Consider the following 14,635-nt stretch of genomic DNA (forward strand, 5'->3'; position numbering starts at 1 on the left):
CATCTTTCAAAGGAACTGAAGTAAAATTCGCATGGGATCTCAGAATGTGTAAAGACAAGTAGGGAGAAGATCATGGCCCTGACAGAGGCTGCTCCCTGGCATTCAGTATGGAAACAGTCTTTACTGTTCATTTGTTAAAACCGGAATATACTAATAGCTAGGTCAAAGGTCCACCTGATAACTTGAAAGTTCCTCATTAAGGATTTTAATAGGCCAAGGAATGATATGAGTTTCAGAATAATGGTTCAAACTTCTACCGTAAGAAAACTTTCAGCCTACCCAAAACCTTCAAAATTAAATTATACATTTTACATAGAAAATAAAGAGGTTAATTTGAAAATAAAAGTGATACTGTTTACTGTTTTTCAACAAAAGCTGTTATACCCCTCATCCTAAAAAATATCCGGTTTTTTTCTGAGACAGGGTCTCACTCTGTTGCCCAGGCTGGAGTGCAGTAGCGGAATCATGGCCTACTGCAGCCTTGAACTCCGAGGCTCAAGTGATCCTCCTGCCTCAGCCTTCTGAAAGGCTGGGATTACAGGCATAAGCCACCACACCTGGCTTATTTTTTAATTTTTTGTAGAAATGTGATCTTGCTATGTTGCCCAGGCTGGTCTCGAACTTCTGAATTCAAGCAATTATCCCGCCCGTCTCCCAAAGTGCTGGGATTACAGGTGTGAGCCACAGCACCCGGCCTTAAAAAAATTGCTTTCTAAGAAATTCTCATTTTATCAATGCTCTAATATACACACCAACAGACTTTTAGGCATAGAATTCTTTTCAGAGAAGCAAGAAGAGAATGTAGCCCTTACATATCTGGATGGCTCTTCTAGATTCTGGTCATTCATGTCAGTAGGAACAATCCGGGTGGCCAGAGGTCCTTCTGCAAAAGGTTTTGGTAACTGACCTCTGAACTCTGATGGAATGAACTGAAGCTGCCAACTGTCAGAAACACAAGGAGAATAAGAAAAACACAGGGGGATAATATTGCTAAATGTACTTGAAACAAACAAGCCAGGAAAATCATGTGAAAAACATTTCTCTTGAAGAAAAAATATTTCTGCTAAAACCTCAACCAGGGAGCACAGAGGCAGAGGTCACAAGTCAGTCCAAAATCATTGAGAAATTTATAATTAGATGTCTCTTGACCCATTTCACCAACTGTTAGCAGTGAAATTCACAACCAAATGGTCATATCATCAAAAAACCAGAGAAGTGCCAATGCTTATTGTCAATTACTATGTGGGCAGAGAGACTTATCAAATAAAGCAAATTATCAGGTGTAGAGAAAAAGAATGAAATGTAATATATGGCACTGAGAACACACTATGGGAGAAATACTTTGTTCCGGAGTAACCCTCAAACATATCTTTATCTATAAAACTATTTCAAACGTAAAAGGCAAAGGCTAAAGTCAACACTTAAAAAACAAGTTTTAATTTAATCATTAATGACTGACACAGGGTCTTTATGAAGCATAAGAAACTACTACCCAGTAAAGCCAAGCTACTGAAGCCATTTCTCAAATGGAGCAACATGACTCATCTTAACCAGATTTCCCTTTAACCTACACAGGACTCTTCTCTGGCCAAATGAAGCAAACTACAAAGAACTTTAGGGCCTATGCTCTCAGAACCACAGAAAGCATAAAGGAAACTGGTATAGACATTTTAACCACAGCCTTCCCCAGTGTCCACATAATGGTGGAGAACTTTCACTACTGTTGGGTCAAGAATGTCTTCTCTCTTCTAGCTGGAGTTTCTAGACCACTTTTAGAAGAGGATTAACATCAGATCATTATAGAAATGTAAATATGAATCCCCACGAAGAGCCACTGGCAAAAGCCTAGGACCCAGGGCATTTTCAGAAGTCCCCAGACACCTGCAGTTATGGGCAGTGCAGAATGTCTACCTAGACCCAGCCCTCAGCCTAATAAGCCTAATGAACACAGGAGGCAGGTACACAGTACACAGGCCCCACAGCTCTCCGACGTGGTAGATAATTCAATAACTCTCTGTGAAAACTCCAAAAGAAAACAAAAATTAGAAGACACTGATATAGAACTGCTCTATTTACTCCTTCATTTAAAACCCTAGGAATTAAAGGACAACTTACTTGTCAGGAAGAAGGAAGCTGCTGGGAAATCGATACCACTCTTTTCCCACACAGACATTCACAGGTCTGCCTTCTGGGACAGTGTGGATGGTTGGGTCTGTAGCAATTCGGTAAAATTCTGGATACAAATCAAGGGGCCCGTGATATCCTGGAAGGGAGAACAGTTAGTGAGAGCCAGAGATGAGTAAGATGAGATTCTCACTTTAATTATACTGCTCATTAATGTCGCACTGTAAGCCACAGGAAATTTAAAAGGCAGGAAGGGCCATAGCCATTCCAGCATGAAGCCTGCTCTGCAGGTATAAAATGTCTCTCTAGCTGGGAACACGGTTACAGCAGAGGCCCTATTCTGCAAAAAATAATTGGCTTTCTTGCCCCTCTCTATGCTCCTTCTTCTTTTTACCTTCATTTTCCTTGAGCATATTTTTAATATTATGGATCCAAACAATGATTATAAGAAAGAATATAATCATGAAATGTTAGCCCAAATTTGCATTTTAAGTTTAAGGCTTCCTTAATTTATCAGCATCCATTAAAAGAAAAAAACAACAAAAATAGACAAAAAATGTACAGTTAATCACACTAAAAGGAATTCTCAATCTTCTCTTCAATCCTAAGATACAGAAGTCATATGCCACTCATTAATATTAAGTCTACAGGTTCTCTTTTTAGAAATGGCTTCTTAGTATAAGCCAAATATGTATTATATAATCATGAATCAAGTAAAACCTAAGAGCAAGTGACTCGTCAGTGTAGGTTAAGATATTCTTAGAAGATCTACCTCTGAACAGTGCCACAGAGCGAGAAAATGACAAGAGCCCAAACAGGAAGACAGTTCCTAATGCCAGCCAATTCGATGTCACAGTATAGTGCTCCAGGCGATATCGTTGAAACACAAAGTGGTAACATTTCTGGAAGTACAGAAAACTGTGCTGATAAAAGAAAATATAATTTGTAGAATATACATAATTACAAGACATCACAGTAACATCAAGAGCGAAGCCAAAAAAGAGGTTCTATTAGGGATCTGAGCATTTGCCAACAGTGAGGTACCTACTCCAAACTCTAAGATAAAAGCCAACTCCTCTAAGACTACCTGTAGTCTTGGCCAGGCAGAGGGCTTGCCAACAATAAAATCTCACTAGCTTCATAGGAAAATTATTTGAATATTTTGCTAGCATTTATAGTCCTAATAAGTTATTTTTTTTAAATATTTAAGCAATGCTTTTTTGGTAGTTTTGATATATAAAGTATTCCAATTTGTTTTTGATATAATGAGTACTAATCTTTACTATCAAAGTTTTTATCAAAGCTATTAGTATCAAAAAAAGGTCTCATGACCAAATAAGAAAAAAGAATTCCCCTTATAGAACACTAGGAACATGCTCTTAATTATATGCTGAATGACTTTACAAACTAGATGAATATAATATAAACACACATGCATGAATTCTGCTGTCTTTGAGTACCTTCTACTCAGACTTCTTCCCTTCCTTCCTTCCCTTCTAGACAGAAACTACTTACAGAAAGCAATTTTCCAATATATAACAAATGGCATAAATCTGTTTGAACCTTTTTCATATTTTTTGGAATCTATCCTGAGGAATCAATCTAAATATCTAAATGAAGATATTTATCCTAGCATAATACTGAATAAATGAGCAACCTAAATTCTACCATGAATTATATCCAATAATTACATTATATAAAGTCAAGTCAATATATTACATATTACATAATAATGCTATATATTATATCCAACTCAGAACATTCTACAGCTACTAAAATGATAAGCACAGAGAATGTTACAATATTAAATTAAAAGGGATATAAAGTGGCTGGGTGCGGTGGCTCACGCCTGTAATCCCAGCACTTTGGGAGGCCGAGACGGGAGGATCACAAGGTCATGAGATCGAGACCATCCTGGCTAACACAGTGAAAACCCCGTCTCTACTAAAAATACAAAAATTAGCCGGGCGTGGTGGCGGGCGCCTGTAGTCCCAGCTACCCGGGGGACTGAGGCAGGAGAATGGTGTGAACCCGAGAGGCAGAGCTTGCAGTGAGCCGAGATTGCGCCACTGCACTCCATCCAGCCTGGGCGACAGAGCAAGATTCCGTCTCAAAAAAAAAAAAAGGGGGGGGGGGATATAAAGTTACATGTATACTTATTATTACAACTATAACAAACCTTGGTATATGATATACAAAAATGCTGGGAGGAGTTTTTGTTAGGTTAATGTGACTAATTTTTCTTTTACTACTTCCTAAATTATCTGCAATAAAGTTCAATTACTTTTATAATTAAAATTATTTTTTAAAACTATCACCTAATATTGATGAACCTTGAAAACATTATGTTAAGAAAAGCCAGTCACAAAAGACCACATATCATATGTTTCCATGTATAGGAAATGTTCAGAATAGGCAAATCTATAAGAACAGAAAGTAGATTAATGGTTACTTAGGGCTGGTGAGAGATGAGAAAGGGAATGGGGGAACAATAGCTAAAGGGTACAGGGTTTTTGATCTAAAACTGACTGTGGTGACAACTGCACACATCTGTGAATAGACTAAAAACCACTGAATCATACCCTTTAAATAGGTAAACTGTATGGTTTGTGAATTATATCTCAAAAAACCTGTTAAGAAAAAAACCTATCATCCTAATTATTTTTTTTCTGCCAACTGCAAATGGTAGCAGAGGGCAATACAGGGTTCTGAGGCTACTGAAGCCGTAAGTACAGAGATATTCAAACAGAGTTAAGATGAGCTCTGCCAGAGAATTGACCTGGGCAGGTTTTCAACCAGGATTACAAAGTGCCCCATACTGTGAACTGCCTGCTGTGATCCCAAACTCTTGAGCAAGTTTTGTTATGATCTAGCAGTTCAAAGAGCAGACATTCCATTACTTCTGCCACAGAATGGAATTCTGCAATTGGATTCCTGTTGGTAACAGAGGCAAAGTAACACACAAATTAACACTGCAAACATGTAATCAGCAAATACAAGTATGGTAAACAGCTAAGCAATCAATATAAGAAGGTTTAATAATATGATCTATATCAGGTTTAATGTTATGGATAAAATATCTTAGGTGGAAGCATTCTGTAATTTGCACTTAAGTTTGTGAGCAATTATTTAATAAGTAAAAAAGAATGAGGCAGATACACTTCTCCCTGAAACTCACCTGAAGTGCAGAGAGAGCCACAGCGCCACAGAGACATATAAGTGGATACACAGGGAAAAGAAATCTCTCCTCTTTGTGAGGCTGGATGAAGAAAATTATAAACCAAATATACATTGGAGCCAAGGTAAGCCAATACGGGTGGCCTAAATTCTGAACTGCAAGACACAGAAAAATACCCATCTTTCATTATATTAGAACAAAACAACATATTTAGTTTTAGTGTTATCTTGATCTCAAATTTAGGAGTATGCCCTAGGACACTCCATAGAATGTTTCTACTCTTGTATTCACACTTTCTCCAATGCCATAAAGGCATCAAAAGGAGAGAAGAATATACTCCTTAGCTCTCCCAAGAGATCTAAACTCTAACAACAAGCACAATACTAGATTTGGTTAGGACACATATAAATGTCAAGTTAATGGCTAATAGAACTTAATAAATTCTACGTTAGATGAAGGAAAAATAAGCCGTCTCCTTTAATGAGTCCTGCCACTAAGACGAAAAGTTCCTGAGTTTAACCAAAAGCATAACATAAATTCATTTCTGGGGTTTTAATTCCAATGTTCTGTTTAATTGGTGTCTCTTATCTATACACCAATCAGTCTGTTCAAATAGCCATGGATCAAAGGAAAACAAAATTGTTGGATTCTCAAATTCATTACTGGTTTTCATCAAGCCACAAATGACGGAGTTTGTTTCAAGGCAAACATAAAAATGCTCTTAAAGGAAGTTCAGTGATTGTTTTCTCTCCATTTTGCAATACTCATCCACTCCGGATCCCCAAATTGGAACAAAAATGTACTTAAAGCATGTGAAAGAATTAAAGGAATGTAATGAACACTAAAACCCAAGAACCTGCTGGAAAGTTCCCGTGGTTAGGTACATGAGAAATGAGAGATAAGCCTGCAACCCACAGTGAAGGCATCTCCTACTGCGTTTACAGGAGTGATAATGAGCAACGCAAATGCGGGCAAATGGTAGATAGACAGCGCCCCCTGGTGTCCACCATGTTAACAGTAAGCCAGTTTACAAGATCAGGATTATCGTCAAGATCCACTTTAGCTATGCCTAATTTAGCATTCCTAGGCTATCACTTTCACTGTAGAAATTCTTTAAGGATAAAAATTCTTGAACTACAATAACAAGATTTTGTTTCAACTTTTGCTCTAAGACATTATGGGATTTTAGATAATAATTTAGAATATATACCTTTCTAGGTAGTATATTTTAAGGGGGAGGTTTTTTGTTTTTTGTTTTCTGAGACGGAGTCTCTCTCTGTCACCCAAGCTGAAGTGCAGTGGCACAATCTCGGCTCACTGCAACCTCTACCTCCCAGGTTCGAATGATTCTCCTGCCTCAGCCTCCTTAGTAGCTGGGATTACAGGCATGCATCAACACACCAGGCTAACTGTTGTATTTTTAGTGGAGATGGGGTTTCACAGTGTTGGTCATGCTGGTCTTGAACTTCTGACCTCAGGTGATCCACCCGCCTCGGCCTCTCAAAGTGCTGGGATTACAGGCGTGAGCCACTGTGCCTGGCCTAAGGTGGGGTTTTTTAATTAGAAGAAAATAAATCCACTTATTGTCCACAAGTAAACAGTCCTTTTCTCTTCTGTACCTTAAAGGCTAACGAGTAATCTTTTTTTAATAAGGCAAAAAATTTTGAAATGTCCTCCATAAAATATACAAAATCACAACCACAGCTAGATATGATGAAATCAAGAGTAATTTCTTTCCTGCTTCTTAATAATTTTCTATGGTTTGGGGGACTTTTTTTTTCTCTTGAGACAGGGTCTCGCTCTGTCACCCAGGCTGGAGCATAGTGGCACAACCATGGCTCACTGTAGCCTTGACCTCCTAGGCTTAAGCAATCCTCCCACCTCAGCCTCCCAAGTAGCTGGGACTACAGGTGTGCATCGCCATGCCCGGTTAATTTTTTAATTTTTTTCGTAGTGACAGGGTCTTGCTATCTCACCCAGGCTGGTCTTGAACTCCTGGGTTCAAGCAATCCTCCCACCTCGTGCTCCCAAAATACTGGGATTATAGGCATGAGCCACTGTGCCTGGTCTTTTTTCTCTTAAAAAAGTATTGGTTCTATTCTAAAATCACATAAAAATATAAAGAAAAAAACAGAAAATGTTTTCTTACTAGGTAGATATGTGCATACATTATGCATTTTAAACCAATATTTTATACTTAAAATTTTATCATACTGTAGAGAACAGCTTAATATCCTGTTTTTTTACTGACGTTACAAGCATTTCCAAATTTTCCACAAGCATAAATAATTATTATTGTTGTTTTTAAAAACAGAGACACAGGTCTCACTATGTTGCCCAGAGTGGTCTCGAACTCCTGGGCTCAAGCAATCCTCCCACCGTAGCCTCCCGGGCAGCTGGAACTATATGCACGTGCCACTGCTCCCAGCTATCATAAATTATTTTTATAGTCAGAAAAATAGCTATTTTCAAAAAAAGAAAAAGTGATCCTTAAGAAATAGAAGGGATAGAGGAATAAGTTAACACCTCAAGGGAGCAAACAGCTGAGTCTAAAATGTGGGACATTATGCAAGATGATGGCCTGGTTTCTTTAAAGAAATCTTCGAAAGAAAAAAAGTAAGATGGGGGTCTTCTTAAAAAGCTTAAGAAATATAACACTAAATTCAGTACGTGACCCTTGTTGAGATTCTGCTTTAAACTAACTATAAAAGGCTATTTTTCAGACAATCTAGGAAATCAATGGGTATTAGATGATATTAAGAAATTACTGATAATTTTATTAGGATAATGGCATTATGGCTACGTTGAAACAAAAGTCCTAACACCAAAGAAAAGTGACTCTGAAGGCTGCTCTAATATTCTTATAATACAACGAACTCATTATAAACCATTAATAGTAGAAAAGCAGAATGGAGGTGGGATGGGGGAACTGATCATATGGCATCCAAATCAGACTGCAAAGTCTGAAATTAAATCTTTTTCCAAACCTCATATGAATTTCTGTTCAAATCTGTCTTCCATAAAAGAAATGAGAGGCACTAGATATCCAGAGCCACGACAACTTGAGAAAACACCAGCTGTGCACTACAGAATCAGAGCAAGCAAAGCAAACGACAAACCAAACTTTCTCCAATAAGGCAGACACAGAAACAAAAAGGAACAAAGAAAAGCATCATGCTTCTGAGGAAGTCCAAAGCTTCCCTTACTTCACTATCAAATTTGGGGAAATCCCTGTATGGTTCAGATTTTATACTTTCGTTTGAAGTACTATCTCGTGGATTACCTTAAGCAACCTATCAGGTTAATATACACTTCTTTAAAAGATAGAAAACTCAAATAGGCTTGTTCTCTTCTGAGATTTTTTTTGAGATGGAGTTTTGCTCTTGTCGCTCAGCTGGAGTGCAGCGGCGCAGGGTCTTGGCTCACTACAACCTCTGCCTCCTGGGTTCAAACGATTCTCCTGCCTCAGCCTCCCTAGTAAGTGGGATTACAGGCATCCACCACCATGTCTGGCTAATTTTTGTATTTTTAGTAGAGATGGGGTTTCACCACGTTGGCCAGGCTGGTTTTAATTCCTGACCTCAGGTGATCCACCCGCCTCGGCCTCCCAAAGTGCTGGGATTACAGATGTCAGCCACCGCGCCCGGCCTCCTTCTGAGATTTTATAAATATTTTTACTTCCCTGGGTGATTGTGTAAATTATATTGACTTCCTCACTTAAAGCAATAATAAAGCTCTTCCTCCTGTCAATTTAATTTGCCACAATTCACCAAATCTTCACAAGGGTTCAATGGATCAACAAACACAGACTGAAAATTCAGTAAGCCAACCATTTCCATAGGAAGAATGTGGAAAATAAAGTAAGTAGGATTTTCCTTCAGTTCTTGGTATACACCATTACTTGCTCTTTCCTCCCAAAACACCTACCATCTCTTATGCCACTCACCATGAAATCTCTGCAGCAGGTATTCCATAAGAGAAGTCAGTGGTAGGACTAGGAGAGCCAAAGCAAAGGCTACATTGAAATTCAGAAATCCATTAATTAAATAGAAATACCAGGGTTCTGTACCTGAGGGAGACATAAAGGTAAGAAATCATTAGTGGATGCCTTTAACACCTATTACGGTGCTTGACATATAATGTTCTTTGTTGGAATAACACTGATGATCCTATGCCTCATGGGAATGAGAGTGCACAGCCCACTCTTCCCATGCTAAGCTACACAAAAGAAGCACAAGAGCGAGATGGAAGAGAATGGGATTGGTCATGAGGATTTAGGGAGAAATCAAGTTTCAAATAGTTAGCTGTATTTTCTATACTGACCACTATATCTAGCCCAAATTGCTATGCCCCAATGGAACTAATACTTTTGAGAAGCACCAAATAATTTAAATCGCTTTAGAGCCACATAGGGCTAAAATAATAAAACTGCCATTTCAATTTAACTATTCTCTCAAGATCGCGCAGACCAAAGGAAAGAGTGATAAAAAAACTTAGTTGGTGGCTGGGTGTGGTGGCTCATGCCTGTAATCCCAGCTACTAGGAAGGCTGAGATGGGAGGATTGCTTGAGCCCAGGAGGTTAAGGCTGCAGTGGGCTGTGGTCGTGCCGCTGCACTCCAGCCTGGGCGACACAGTGAGACCCTGTCTCAAATAAAAATAAAAATAAGGAACTTAGTTTGAGCTATTCAGGCATCTCCCATTTTGTTTTCATCTGCTTGTCCCATTTACATTCTAGCATCTTTCCCCTTGATATGCTCAACCACTTATAGTCGCGTACATTGGGCAACATGTGTTTGGTATAAAGCAACAACCCGTTTTTCTTAGATCATGTTCAGAGGCCCAGGCCTTGCTGAGAAGCTTTAAGGATTCAGAATGAAGCAAAATCACTAAAAACACAAGTCTTACTCACACTATTTTTTATTCTTTAACTCAAAATCCTTACACCCAAATGATGAGAAACAGACCCCCTCTGCACATTTAGCAGGTTTTTCATCTGCTTTTCCCCTCTGTATGATTACTTCAATCAAGAAGTGAATGACACATGCGGGTTTTAATCACTGTGTGTTGTGACACCCGCCTTGCACCATAGCAATTTCCTGCAATCAGCATTGCTTAAAAGGGTAATCAGAAGGCAGAGGAATAGTCAGAAAAACCTGACATTCTTGCAGCTTGCACAGCAAAATAAGATTAGAAACCAAACCCATAATGCTAGAAACATTTAGGGGAGAAGTAAGAGGGAGGGAGGTTACACTAAGGAAAAGTTCAAGTTCAACTGTGCGTCACCTTTGGGGGAAGCTCACTCCTTCCTGTCTCAATACAATGATAGAGAATATTCATGAACAGAGGTCCTATTCCAGGCCCAGTTCATTAGGGACATTTTAATCTTGTATTCTTTACAAATATGCATTTGGGTTATAGAAAACTAACGGATGGTTTTATTTTCAAATCAAAAATGTCTTTTCTGAATCTTAATTAGAATTTAACAACATTATTTTTTAAACTGAGTCCTTTAGGATCCAATTTCCAGAGAGGTAAGCTTTTGCACAATCCTCTCCTGACCACCAGTGCGGAAGCAGGGCTAGCAACCTCTGACTCACCTTTTTCTTAACAGGATTCTGGAAATCTGAGCTTGTGAAGAAAAACCATAGAGTGACCAGACAGAAAAGGGGTTATCCTTTCTATTATCTATTACAGATGTCAAGCACCAATAGGAAAAAGCCACTTGTCTCTTTCATATTTGCAAATACAGACTGTTTTTTTCAGGAAAGCACTTTAGCTTCCAGAAAATATTTGTCTCTAACACAATTTACTATACCCTCCTGTTACAGCTATCTTTTTATCTAGGTATACTGTACTCTGAGATGAGGAAACAAAAGTATTAAGCTGGTAAATGCAATCATTTTTATGTATTCAGAGCTCATAAATCAAGTTTCCAACTAGGCTGTGAACATTTCATAACAGACTGTTATTTCCCTGAAAGATGGGGCAAAAATTGGGGGATAAGCCAAAAGTGAAGAAGGTTCAAGTGTCAACAGTCTTAAAAACAAGGGCAAAAGGGAACAAAAAGAGTGACTTCTATCAGCCAGAGTCCTCCCCTGCTTGATGACACATCTGCCTTAGGAAAGCAAAGGGTATAAACTTTTATCTCTTTTCAGGGAGATATTCAATGCTGCTGCTCAGAAAACATCAGAGCTGAACTATGCAAAAAACCATGTCAGAATGACAAGCTAAACGCTGAACTGGTGCAAGATGTTTAGGTGAAGGAAAGCTGGCAGCAGGGTCTCTGCAGGGAGTGACTCACCCATCCTCCTCTTTATGGAAAGTGCCTCAAGTCCTTTCAATCAAATGAGCTAAGGGAAGCTTTCAAAGAAGCTAAAAGAAGGGATAATGTTTACTGCTCCATAGATTGAATGAAGGAGAACTACTTCCCAAAGTTATAATTTTATAGACCTGTAGGAACTAAATCATAGTAAGACATCCTTATAAATGTCAAATTTGTACCACCGAGAGGGAAAAGCCACTAAGTTCAAGAGAAATGATTAACAAAAGAGCAAAGGCTCTAGAACAGTTCTGGCTGGCAGTGAATTCTAAGCAGGACTGATAAGACCCCACTGGGGCTTCTTCCTCTGCCACTGCAATTATGGAAACCTGTGGGCCTCCCAACAGAGGGCATTTGCGGGTATCGTCTGAAACTTTCCATCCAGTGATCAGACAGATGTTGATAAAACACATAAACAGGCAATGGGATCCTGTCCTAAGCTGCAAAGTGGCAACCTGAGCAGATTCACTGTTCTTTCTGAGGCAAGAGTATTTCCTGTAAGTGTATTCCCATGCCTTCTCCAGGCCTGTGCACTCCTCAGCAGAGAGCACCACTCTTCACTCACCAGACAAAAATACTTGCCAGCATCAACATCTGAGAACTTGAAATGTTATGAGGGGCAAAATCAGTGACAAGACCAATCACTTTCTTTTCTGCAACACTAAATTTCGCCTCTTGATCTCTGACCCCACAGAGACATTTTGCCTAAGACTTCACAATTCTAGTCTATCCTATTCTAAATTTTCTAAGTGCCAAATGTTCTTTACCTTATCCAAACACTCCTTCTTTCTTCAACAAAAGGGTCTGGTACAGCGCTCCCATGTAAAAGGAGAACTTGCCAGTGTGCACGTCACTCTGCCACTCAAGCTCGCTAGGGGCTCCTGATCACTTTCCAAACCAAAATGCACAAACCTTCAAAGGTATAATTTTCCACCTATTCTATAGATTGGATCCTATCTTCTCCCACCCTCAACTCATGCTCTCTGCTTTAGTAAGCTTATTCTCTGGTAAAGTCTCAGTAGCCAAACTCCAGGGTTTTGCTAAGGGTCTTGTTTTCAGTGCAAAGAACACGGGCTTTGAAGTCAGACAACACTAGACTCTTATCCCACTTTTGCTACTTTTTTAACTATGTGGCATATTCCCCACCATCTCAACCTCAGTTTCTTCATCCAGGAATACAAATAAATAAGGCCTGTCTCAGAGTGTTTTGAGTGAAAAAAGATGGTATGTGAATAACTTCTGACACACAGTAGGCATTCAATAATCAGAAGATATTGTAATTAATATCTTTCAAAATGTACTCCCTTTATTTTCCCCAGCTTCAAATGAAAGGTGTCAGCTCAAGTCTAGAATGTCTCACTAATACATGCTACCTAGCCAGGAAAGTGTAGAAAGGTCCCTTTGAAAACCAGGAACAGTTCGTGACCAGCTTGACCAACATGGAGAAACCCCATCTCTACTAAAAATTAGCTGGGTGTGGTGGTGCATGCCTGTAATCCCAGCTACTCAGGAGGCTGAGGCAAGAGAATTGCTTGAATCCAGGAGGCAGAGGTTGCGGGGAGTCGAGGTCACCCCACTGCACTCCAGCCTGGGCAACAAGAGCAAAACTCCATCTCAAAAAAAAAAAAAAAAAAGAAAACCAGGAACAATAGAAAGGGTAAACATTTATATGATTATAACCACAATGGAGTGATTGAAATCATCTTGCTCATGTCTGAATAGTTTCTACCTAAAATCCAACCAATGCTGTAAAAATAAGTTTTTATAAAGAACTCAATATTCAATCTTTTTGCTTCAGCAGTCCCTATATTTGACATTCCATTTGTCAGAAATGTACCCCTCTTGCATTTACTAAGGACACTCCTACTCTTCCTTCCAGGCTCAGCTCAAGAGCCGCACCTTTCTTGACACCACCAGAAGGACATGCTCCTATGATTCCCTATCTTTCCCCTGTAGCACATAAAACACTGTCCTGTAATTATCTATTTGTGTGTCTGCAGCCTAATTAGACAGTAAGTACTATGATGAAACAAGATTAATGCTCAAAAGCAATTTATTCAATGTTTCTTTCTTTCTTTCTTTCTTTTTTTTTTTGAGACAGGGTCTCCCTCTGTCGCCCAGGCTGGAGTGCAGTCGTGCAGTTTCGGCTCACTGCAAGCTCTGCCTCCCGAGTTCAAGCAATTCTCGTGCCTCAGCCTCCTGAGTAGCTAGGATTAAAGGCATGCACCACCACGCCCAGCTAATTTTTGTATTTTTAGTAGAGATGGGGTTTCACCATGTCGGCCAGGCTGGTCTCGAACTCCTGGCCTCAAGTGATCCACTCACCTCGGCCTCCCAAAGTGCTGGGATTACAGGCGTGAGCCACCACACCTGACCTTCAATGTTTCTTTAACTGAAGCCCATTTGTCCATCCAGTCAAGAAATATTAATAGGCTTAGTATGTTCTTACACATGAGAAATAGCACTAAGAGATGTATGCAAAAACTATCTTTTTTCCTGTTTTTAAATTGTTTTAAGTTCTGGGGTACATGTGCAGGATGTGCAGGTTTGTTACATAGGTAAACTTGAGCCATGGTGGTTTGCTGCACAGATCAACCCATCACCTAGATATTAAGCCCAGCATGCATTAGCTATTATCCTGATGCTCTCTCCCTCCCTCCGCCCCCTCCACAGGCCCCAGTGTATGTTGCTCCCCTCCCTGTGTCCATGTGTTCTCATCGTTCAGCTCCCATTTATAAGTGAGAAGATGTGGTGTTTGGTTTTCTGCTCCTGTGTTAGTTTGCTGAGGATAATGGCTTTCAGTTCCATCCATGTCCCTGCAAAGGACATTATCTTGTTCCTTTTTATGGCTGCATAGTATTCTATGGTGTATACAGCACAATGCATTTTTAATTTTCAGATAAGAAACTGTGTGCTTAACATAGCTAATGAGGCACCTGGAGCAGGAGACTCTTGTAAAACAGCCAAAACAATGCCAAATAGTGCCCAACATGTAATAAAGTGAAAGAGCTAG

At 39.4% G+C, this 14,635-nt stretch overlaps 1 protein-coding gene across 31 annotated transcripts in view, besides 1 other annotated feature; it reads right to left on the reverse strand.

Annotated features, from left to right (window-relative positions):
- ALG9 (ALG9 alpha-1,2-mannosyltransferase) overlaps positions 1-14,635 on the reverse strand; it is a 103,557-nt gene that overhangs the window by 67,328 nt on the left and 21,594 nt on the right. For 14 of the 31 annotated variants that reach the window (XR_001747968.3, NM_001352409.1, NM_001352417.1 and 11 more), the window contains 5 exons: positions 9,249-9,371; positions 5,303-5,457; positions 2,897-3,026; positions 2,116-2,263; positions 813-942 (listed from right to left, as the gene is read on the reverse strand). Coding sequence is in view for 24 of the 31 variants with exons in the window: in NM_001352409.1 (NP_001339338.1) it covers positions 813-942; positions 2,116-2,263; positions 2,897-3,026; positions 5,303-5,457; positions 9,249-9,371 (686 nt within the window). In the remaining 7 variants the exon portion in view is untranslated. Of the gene's footprint in view, positions 1-812; positions 943-2,115; positions 2,264-2,896; positions 3,048-5,302; positions 5,458-9,248; positions 9,372-14,635 lie in introns of those variants that run through there. The other 17 variants (XR_001747967.3, XR_001747977.2, XR_007062504.1 and 14 more) reach the window with 4 other exon arrangements.
- Positions 3,650-4,151: an enhancer, noted in NCBI's record as "H3K4me1 hESC enhancer chr11:111709725-111710226 (GRCh37/hg19 assembly coordinates)". NCBI's record gives its function as "activates a minimal SCP1, AML or CMV promoter by ChIP-STARR-seq in naive H9 embryonic stem cells {active_cell/tissue: H9 hESC(naive)}" and the evidence as "EXISTENCE:reporter gene assay evidence [ECO:0000049][PMID:30033119]".

This window comes from Homo sapiens, chromosome 11, assembly GCF_000001405.40.
Source record: "Homo sapiens chromosome 11, GRCh38.p14 Primary Assembly".
NCBI classification, from domain to species: Eukaryota; Metazoa; Chordata; class Mammalia; order Primates; family Hominidae; genus Homo; species Homo sapiens.